The following is a 10,112-nucleotide window of genomic DNA, read 5'->3' on the forward strand; positions in this document are numbered from 1 at the left end:
GAGACTGGATTAGGGCCCATATTAATGGCCTTATTTTAACTTTTTTTTTTTTTTTTTTTTTTTTTGAGGTGGAGTCTTGCTCTGTCACCCAGGCTGGAGTGCAGTGGCATGATCTTGGCTCACTGCAACCTCCACCTCCTGGGGTCAAGCGATTCTCTTGCCTTAGCCTCCCAGGTAGCTGGGATTACAGGCATGCGCCACTACACCTGGCACATTTTTAGTATTTTTAGTAGAGATGGAGTTTCGCCATGTTGCCCAACTGGTCTCGAACTCCTGGCCTCAAGGGATCCACCCGTCTCGGCCTCCAAAGTGCTGGGATTACAGGCATGAGCCACCATGACTGGCCTTATTTTAACTTAATTACCTCTTCAAAGGCCCCATCTCCAAACACAGTCACAGTCTAAGGTACTGGGGGCTAGGGCTTCAACATATGAATTTTGGGAAAATGTAATTCAGCCCATATCAGAAATATACTAACCTAACAATAAATTATTTAAATAAGGAAGAGGGTACCTATTTCTAATTAGCACAAAGACACCATATGGGCTAGTGTGGCCCAGCTGGTGGCCCCTTAAACTCAGCCACTCCAGGGCTTCTGTGTCATGCTCAGGACAAATAATCCTCTACACGGGCTGGAAACGCAGGGCCTGAGCCCAGACTCCCCGGGGGCAGCAACAAACATTCCCTTCTGGGAATCTCACTGGGAGCTCAGCTGCAAAGGAGTGGGGCAGATATTCTCTCCACTACCAAAAGGACGTTCTGACCCTTGCCCCCTTTTAAGCCAGGGGAGTTTGCCCCATTCTCCCTCTCTCATGCTTTCCCCCATCCCCACCACGAGGCCCAGCACAATCCATGAGTTTAGCTTTCTTAGAAAAGACAAGGCAGATAAGTTGTTTTCAGTCGACTTTGGCTTTTGGCTCTGCAACACCAACCTCTCCTTACACAGGGACCGATGGCCTCAGACATCTTGGATTTTGAGATTGGGAGAGGAAAAATGCAATGAGAAAATTAGCTTCTCAGTGGTTCAACCTGCCAGACACAGAAAGGCTTTAGCACAGTGCCAGGCAGCGTGAGAGCTCAATAACATGGCCCATGACAATTAACATAATTATTACTCTCATTGTAATTACATAGGAAGCAGTGCTCAGAGTCTACGGTCTGAGGAAAAGGCACCAAGAAGCTGGTGTGTCCAATAGCCCTGTCCAACAGAACTTCCTGATGGGAAGGGGAAGTTCTCTACCTGTACTCTCCCACAAGGTAGCCGTTAGCCACATGTGGCTATTGAGCACTTTAAATGTGGCTAATGCAATCAAGGAACTAAATTTTAAATTTTATTTAATTTTAGTTCATTTAAACTGAGGCCAGGCACGGTGGCTCACACCTGTAATTCCAGCCATTTGGGAGGCAGCAGCAGGAAGATTGCTTGCGGCCAGGAGTTCGAGACCAGTCTGGGCAGCAAAGCAAGACCTCGTCTCTGCAGAAAGTTTTTTCTTAAATTAGCCAGGCATGGGGGCATATGCCTGTGGTCCCAGCTACTCGGGAGACTGAGACAGGAGGATCACTTGAGCCCAGGATTTTGAGGTTACAGTGAACTATGATCACACCATTGCACTTCAGTCTGGGGGACAGAGTAAGACTCTGTCTCTTAAAAAAAAAAAGTTTAAATAACAGCAGAGCTATTGATATGAAAAAAAGTTTAAACAACAGCAGAGCTATTGATATAAAAAAAGTTTAAATAATAGCAGAGCTATTGATATGATTATTGGGCAGCATAGAGTTATAAGATTTTTGTAGCAGCTGACAATAGGGAATAAGTGAACATTCTAACTCCAAATAATACAATTCCCACCTCATTTCCTAGCCATGCCCTGGGCCCAGACTTGTTCCTATATCCACGACGAAGACCAAGGCTGCCCCCTTACAATTTCTACAAGCAAGCCAAAAGCCAACAACTTTTGGAAATCTTGCGTGAATTTTCCCAAGTCAAAATCTTGATAATCCCCATTCATTCTGGACGGAAGAAACATCACAGAGTAATGCCACCTTCTTGTGACTTTAGTTCGCAGCACTCCCTTTACCAAGTTTTATGTGTCATCTATATCAAAGTGGAATTAAAATCAACATTGTTTTTCTGCGTTGGTGCAGACTTTCATACCACCATCCCCCGATACCCTCCCAGCCGCAGCGAGGCTCCACTCAACCAGGCCTGGGAACTGCAGGTTCCACGCCTCTATTCAAGCTGCCAAACTCTGTGAAAGTCCTTTGAGCACAATTAGGATTTTTTACTAGATGCCTTAATGGTGTGCCCACAGGAAATGTGTACCTTGGCCCAGCCACCTTCTCACTGCAACTGGAATTGGCATTGCAGCCCCTGGAAAATGGGCACCTCTCATCTTTACAGTCGGCATGAATCGCCCCGTTCTGTGCAGGAGTGGGGCTTGCCTGCCTGAGACGCCTGCAGACATAACACGTGGGCCGCCTTTCCCATGTCGAACTTTCCCTAGGGGCTGGAAGCCAGCAGAGAAACCCTTCTCGGGCCGGTGTAATTTTTCCTCTCCTCATTCTCTGCCCTTTCCAAATTATATTATTTCCTTGGAGCCACATGTTTTTAACGTCTCTCATTCACACACCTTCACAGATATTACCCAGTAACATGTGTCTGTGGATTTTTTTTTTTTTTTTTTTTTTTTTTTTTTTTTTTTTTTTTTTTTTTTTTTTTTTTGAGACGGAGTCTCGCTCTGTCGCCCAGGCTGGAGTGCAGTGGCGCGATCTCGGCTCACTGCAAGCTCCGCCTCCCGGGTTCACGCCATTCTCCTGCCTCAGCCTCCCGAGTAGCTGGGACTACAGGCGCCCGCTACCACGCCCGGCTAATTTTTTGTATTTTTAGTAGAGACGGGGTTTCACCGTGTTAGCCAGGATGGTCTCGATCTCCTGACCTCGTGATCCGCCCGCCTCGGCCTCCCAAAGTGCTGGGATTACAGGCGTGAGCCACCGCGCCCGGCCGTGTCTGTGGATTTTAAAGGCAGGCTTGGTGAGTGTGTGGGGTTTGATGAAATCTGCTGGTCTCTCCCTGTTTGAAGCCCTTCTCTGAGTCCCCATCACTTATGAGATACAGCACAAGCTTGTCTTCATAATTAACGAGGCCCATTATGATCTAGGTTCCGCCTACATTGTCAGTCTCACCCTCCTCCCTTGTAACATTTGCGGCAGCAACACCGAGTGGCCAGTGGCCCCTCGAAACATGCTGTTTCATTCCTCCATGTATCTGCCTGCGCTGTTCCCGCCTGCTCGAGATGCCCTTCTCTCTCCGTCCACCAGAGAACTGTCCCTCCCCTAACACCCAGGCCAGCAGGCACCTGCTTCGGGTAGCTTTCTCCTCTTCCCTGTCTCCCGTGCTGTTTCAGCGCCCTCCCTCTTACAGATTTCTGTGTTTCACTCGTCTCCCTGTATTGCATTTTGTCTCCTTGCCTGTCTTTCTCCGTTAGGGCACTGTGAGATGGTTGAGGACTAGGGCTGTGTTTTTTCATCTGAACTGCCAGAACCAATCACAGTGCGGGGCTCATAACCACCAATCAAAGCCCATTGTTGAATTGAAACGCGTAGAAAGAGCATCTGATGTGGCGCCGGGCATTTCCCACACTACACATTCTCTTCTCAACAAAGTTTTGTCGAACTGACCTGAATCTTCCTGGCATTGGATGTAATTATGATTGGTGCATTTAAAGAAAAAGATGTAAGGCCAAGCGCCATGGCTTATGTCTGTAATACCAGCACTTTGGGAGGCCAAGGCAGGAGGATGACTTAAGGCCTTGTCTCTATAAAAAATAAATTAGTTGGGTGTGGTGGAGTGTGCCTATAGTCACAGCTACTCAAGAGGGTGAGGTGGGAGGATCGCTTGAGCCCAGGGGGTCAAGGCTACAGTGAGCAGTGTTCATGACACAGCATTCCAGCCTGGGTGACAGAGTGACACCCTGTCTAAAAAAAAAAAGAGAGAGAGACAAAGGTGTAGATTACCTAAGAAATACCTTGTGCCAAAGCTCTATAAATGAAATGCAGCAAGGAGGTAGCAAGGGAGGAAAGGAAGAAAAGGAAACACACATGGAAACATTTATTGAGGGCCTGTCCTGTGGGCTCCAACTCGAAAAGACAACCTGAATCTGCCGTCGTCTCTCTCCTCAGTTCCACTCAGCTTGGACCAGTCTCTCCCATCTCTCACCTGGACCTGCAGCAGCCTCCTCTCAGTTTCCATCCTCCCTGTCATGGACTGAATGTTTGTGTCCCCCTGAAATTCCATTTTCTTTTTTTTTTGAGACGGATTCTTGCACTGTTGCCCAGGCTGGAGTGCAGTGGTGTGATCTCGGCTTACTGCAAGCTCTGCCTCCCGGGTTCACGCCATTCTCCTGCCTCAGCCTCCCGAGTAGCTGGGACTACAGGCGCCCGCCACCACACCCGGCTAATTTTTTGTACTTTTAGTAGAGATGGGGTTTCACCGTGTTAGCCAGGATGGTCTTGATCTCCTGACCTTGTGATCCGCCCGCCTCAGCCTCCCAAAGTGCTGGGATAACAGGCGTGAGCCACTGCACCTGGCCTGTGTCCCCTTGAAATTCCTATGTTGAAGCCCTAACCCCTAATGTGATGGCATCAGGAGGAGGGGCCTTTGGAAGGGGAGTAAGCTTAGATGAGGTCATGAATTGGTGTCCTTATAAGAAGAAAGAGAGAGGCCGGCCGTGGTGGCTCACACCTGTAATCCCAGCACTTTGGGAGGCTAAGGAGGGCGGATCACTTGAGGTCAGGAGTTTGAGACCAGCCTGGCTAACATAGTGAATGAAACCCCATCTCCACTAAAAATATAAAATTAGCAGGGCGTCGTGGTGGGCGCCTGCAGTCCCAGCTACTCGGGAGGCTGAGGCAGGAGAATCGCTTGAACCTGGGAGTCGGAGGTTGCAGTGAGCCAAGATCGTGCCACTGCATTCCGCCTGGGTGACAGGAGCAAAACTCTGTCTCAAAAGAAGAAGAAGAAAGAGAGACCAGAGCTCCCTCTCCATGTGTTTATTCAAGGAGGTCCTGTTGAGCACACAGCATGATGACACTTGACTGCAGGCCAGGAAGAAAACCCTCACCAAGAACTCAATCTGCCAGTGCTGTGGTCCTGGACTCCCCAGGCTCCAGAACTGTGAGAAATAAATGTCTGTGGTTTAAGACCCCCAGTGGATGGTATTTTGTGATCCCCACCAGGGCTGACCGAGACATACTCCCTTACACTTTGCTCTCCTCTCAGGAGCCAGAGTCAGCTTTTACAAATGCAAGTGAGATCAAGCCATTCTGCCTTAACTTCCCCATTGATTTCCCTTGAATATAACCCACCCTCCTTTCTTCAGCCTACAAAGACCTTCCGTGATCTGGCCGTCAGTCTCATTTTCAGAATTCTGTCTTAGTCTCTCTGTCTCTTGCTCAAATTCCACTCACATACACCTTCTTTCAGTCCTTTACAAGCTAAGACCTTATGCACCATTGTCCAAATGATATTCCTGCAGCCCTTTGGATGACTGGCCCTTAAAAGACACCTCCTCATTGAGGCCTTCCTTGACTGTTGTATCTAAAGTCACTCCACAGCCACTTTCCATCATGCCACCAGTTTTATTTTCTCCATAGCACTTTTCAGGACCCAATACACCTTCTTGTCTATTTACTCATTCAGTCTCCATCTCCCCCAACTAGGCTCCTTGAGAACAGGAACCTCACTTGTGTCGTTCACTACTCTATTCCCAGCACCTACAACAGAACCTGGCTCAGGTGGTGTTTAGAAATGAGTGGTTCTTGAGTGACTAGACGCGCCTGGCACTGGCTAGACATGTTCACAGGCAGTATTTTTACACCATCATGTCCAGAAAGGTTTTCTGTAGAGAACTGTCGATGATTTCCAGGGTTTTGACATCCGTGGGGTGAATTCATTCATAATTAGTTTCTTTGAAGTAAAAGTGAATCAGTGTGTGACTTCATACCCAAGTCCACATCAAAGTGTTTATGGATGAATGCAAGGGCAGTGGAATTAATGCAACCTTAAAATGGGAGGTGTAGGAAGCTGCTACGTGAAGGGACGTGGTGGGTGGTGACAGGCCCCTGTCGAGGTCTGCATTCCAGCACTTGCCAGTCAATTGTGCTAAGGTTTAGCCACCTTAAAACCAGGGTCAGGCCTATCTGCCCACCCACTTTAAAGCCTGAAATGACGAATGAAATTTCTGAAACCCTGAGCTTCTCAGAAGCAAAGTTTAGCATGAAGGTTAAGGTGTGCTTTTAGGAGTGCATTGTCAAAGGGAATCTGAAATGTTCTTTGGCTTTGAAAAGAGCACTGGACTTGGAATCGGAGACCTAGGTTTCAGCCCAGATTCTAGTGCTCAGGCACTGTGTGACTTTGGGCAGGTCCCTTAACCTCACCTAATCTCTCTTCTCCTCTGTAAAAAGTAATGCTTCCTCTTTCCCCTCAGAAGGTTGTCCTAAAAGTCAGAATTAGGATGATTCTCTGCAGGAAAGTGTAGAACTATAAGGCACCGTATATTGTAGTTGGTTACTGTAATTATTATCAAGATCTGCTCCTTGGCTGGGCGTGGTGACTCCTGCCTATAATCCTAGAACTTTGGGAGGCTGAGGCAGGCAGATCACCTGAGGTTAGGAGTTCAAGACCAGCCTGGCCATCATGGTGAAACCCCCTCTCTACTAAAAATACAAAAATTAGCTGGGCGTGGTGGCGTGCACCTGTAATCCCAGCTACTTGGGAGGCTGAGGGAGGATAATCGCTTGAACCCGGGAGGCAGAGGTTGCAGTGAGCAGAGATTGCACTACTGCACTCCAGCCTGGGTGACAGAGCAAGACCCTGTCTCAAAAAACAAAAACAAACCAACAAACAAAACAAACAAACAAAAAACAAAAACCAGATCTGCTCCTGGAATCAAAACAGAAACTATTAATTATTAAAAATGATTAATCCAAACCCCTTTGTGTGATGTGATGTGATGTGATGTGTGTGTGTGTGTGTGTGTGTGTGTGTGTGTTATTACTCGTATTATAAGGCTCCTGCTTTGGGTTGCTGCCCATTTACTTGAGGTAAGAATTGCCATACAACGTGAAAAGCTAACAACAGAATGAAGGACCAAGAGTCTTTTGAATAAAATGCTGTAGGAGGGGATGGTGGCCTGATGTATTGCAATAATCTCCTAACCAGCTTTCCTGCCTCGCTGGGCTCTCTCTTTCCCAAGCCACCCCATGTAGTGGCACCAGAGACCAAGCCTCCAACAAAAGGTAATGTAGCTAAGTGGTTAAAGAGGCAGACTTTGGAGCCAGATGATTGGGTACAAGACCCAACTATGCTGCCCAACTAGACAGTTATTTCTTTGTAAAATTAGGAAAGTGCCAGTTCCTTCCCCTGAGGGTTGCATGGAGGATTAAAAGAATTGGTCTGTATTAACTATATTTTATATGTATAGCTTATATATTTTATATATAAACACAAGCTATATTTTATACCTAGCTAATTAAGCTAAATATAAAAGTATACTTAGCACCCTGTCTGGCCCTTTATAAACATTGGCTATTATCATTAAGTTGCTCTTCTGGTCCTACGACTGGTCTACGCAACATTTTTTCATGAAGTCTCATTCCCTACCAAAGTAGGAAAAGCCCTAGCAAGTTGTCAAGCTCTCCCCGACTCCATCTTAGCAGCTCTGTCTGTTCCTCCCCTTCACTGCAGGCAAACAGAATGATCTGCTTTTCTTGACACTTTTTTTTGCCTTCAAGGCTCAACTCTGCTTCCCAAAGTTGGAAGTGCCTTCTCTTATCTTTGAACCCACATAGGGCTTTGTTGCTGTGTACAGCACTTCTCATTCTAGTTTGTGAGGTGGTTTTATCCTCCCCTGATGGACTGTAAGCTCTTGGATGGCAAAGATTGTAATTTATTTGACTTGCATACTTTTTGCAAACAGGCCTTTTACCCATAACAGGTATTTAGTAAATGTTTGTTGAATGCATGGTGTGGTCAGAAATGGCATCACAAAAGTGAGAGTTGAACTGTGCCTTGAAGGAAGAACAGGCTTTAAAAAATCATCATGCTCTCCCTCTCCCCCTCCCCCTCCCCTCCCCCTCCCCCTCCCTCTCCCCACGGTCTCCCTCTGATGCCGAGCCGAGGCTGGACGGTACTGCTGCCATCTCGGCTCACTGCAGCCTCCCTGCCTGGTTCTCCTGCCTCAACTTGCCGAGTGAGGAGCGTCTCCGCCCGGCAGCCACCTCGTCCGGGAGGGAGGTGGGGGGGTCAGCCCCCCGCCCGGCCAGCCGCCCCATCCGGGAAGTGAGGGGCGCCTCTGCCCGGCCGCCCCTACTGGGAAGTGAGGAGCCCCTCTGCCCGGCCACCACCCCGTCTGGGAGGTGTACCCAACAGCTCATTGAGAACGGGCCATGATGACAATGGCGGTTTTGTAGAATAGAAAGGGGGGAAAGGTGGGGAAAAGATTGAGAAATCGGATGGTTGCCGTGTCTGTGTAGAAAGAGGTAGACATGGGAGACTTTTCATTTTGTTCTGTACTAAGAAAAATTCTTCTCCCTTGGGATCCTGTTGATCGGTGACCTTACCCCCAACCCTGTGCTCTCTGAAACATGTGCTGTATCCACTCAGGGTTGAATGGATTAAGGGCGGTGCAAGATGTGCTTTGTTAAACAGATGCTTGAAGGCAGCATGCTCCTTAAGAGTCATCACCACTCCCTAATCTCAAGTACCCAGGGACATAAACACTGCGGAAGGCCGCAGGGTCCTCTGCCTAGGAAAACCAGAGACCTTTGTTCACTTGTTTATCTGCTGACCTTCCCTCCACTATTGTCCTGTGACCCTGCCAAATCCCCCTCTTCGAGAAACACCCAAGAATGACCAATAAAAAAAAAAATAAAATAATAATAATAATAAAATTAAATTAAATAAAAAAAAAATCATCATTATTATTGGCCGGGCACAGTGGCTCACGCCTGTAATCCCAGCACTTTGGGAGGCCAAGGCAGGCAGATCACCTGAGGTCGGGAATTTGAGACCAGCCTGACCAACATGGAGAAATCCAGTCTCTAGTAAAAATACAAAATTAGCTGGGTGTGGTGGCGCATGCCCATAATCCCAGCTACTCGGGAGGCTGAGGCATGAGAATTGCTTGAACCCAGGAAGCGGAGATTGCAGTGAGCCGAGATCGTGCCATTGCACTCCAGCCTGGGCAACAAGAGCAAAACTCCGTCTAGAAAAAAAAAAAAAAAAAGAATCAGTATTATTTAGATTGTAGTGCAGTGACTAAGAGCACGCATCATGTAGCTAAACTAACTGGGTTCAAATCCCGAGTCTGACACTTCGTAGCTCTGTGACTTGGGACAAATTACTTAACCTCTCTGTTCTTCCATTTTCTCTTCATTAAATAGGGATGATAAAAAACAAAAAACAAAAACAAACAAGCAAACAAAAAAAACCCTTCTTCCTGGTGTTACATTGTGAAGATTGTCACATGAACTTAGCGGCATCCTTGGCACTTCGTAAGTGCTCAATGAACAATAGCCATTACTACTACTATCACACAGATAATGAATGCTTCTTATAAGAAGTCCAGCAAGACACTAGAAAGTGGAAGAGTTCCTCCCTGCACCCCGGCAATCTTACCCCCATAGACAGAGCCACTACTATGGGCTTAGTGAATATCCTTCCAGAAGTTTTATGAATATAATATATATTTAGTAACATAAACAGAGTCATACCACATATACCATTCAATTATGAAAGCCACTGAGGGATGCAGGCTGATGGAACTGTTGCCCTCTCCAACTGCACCGGCCATTAAATGCTTCAGCCTGCAAGTGATACACTTCACTGGCTTTCACAACTCATTGGCCAGAACTAGTCACTTAACCCCAACCAACCCCCCAAGGTGGGCGAGAGGTGTAACCCTGTCATATGCCAAAAGGAAGGGCACATCTAAAATCTAAATCTAAATCTAAAATCATCTAAAATATTCTGAGAAAAACCCACAATAACTAAGAGAGAGAAGGGCCAAATGTTGTTGTAGCCAATGTTGCTTCAAAATATTGGGCTAAAGGCA

The sequence above is a fragment of the Homo sapiens genome, chromosome 12 (assembly GCF_000001405.40).
Source record: "Homo sapiens chromosome 12, GRCh38.p14 Primary Assembly".
Taxonomy (NCBI): domain Eukaryota; kingdom Metazoa; phylum Chordata; class Mammalia; order Primates; family Hominidae; genus Homo; species Homo sapiens.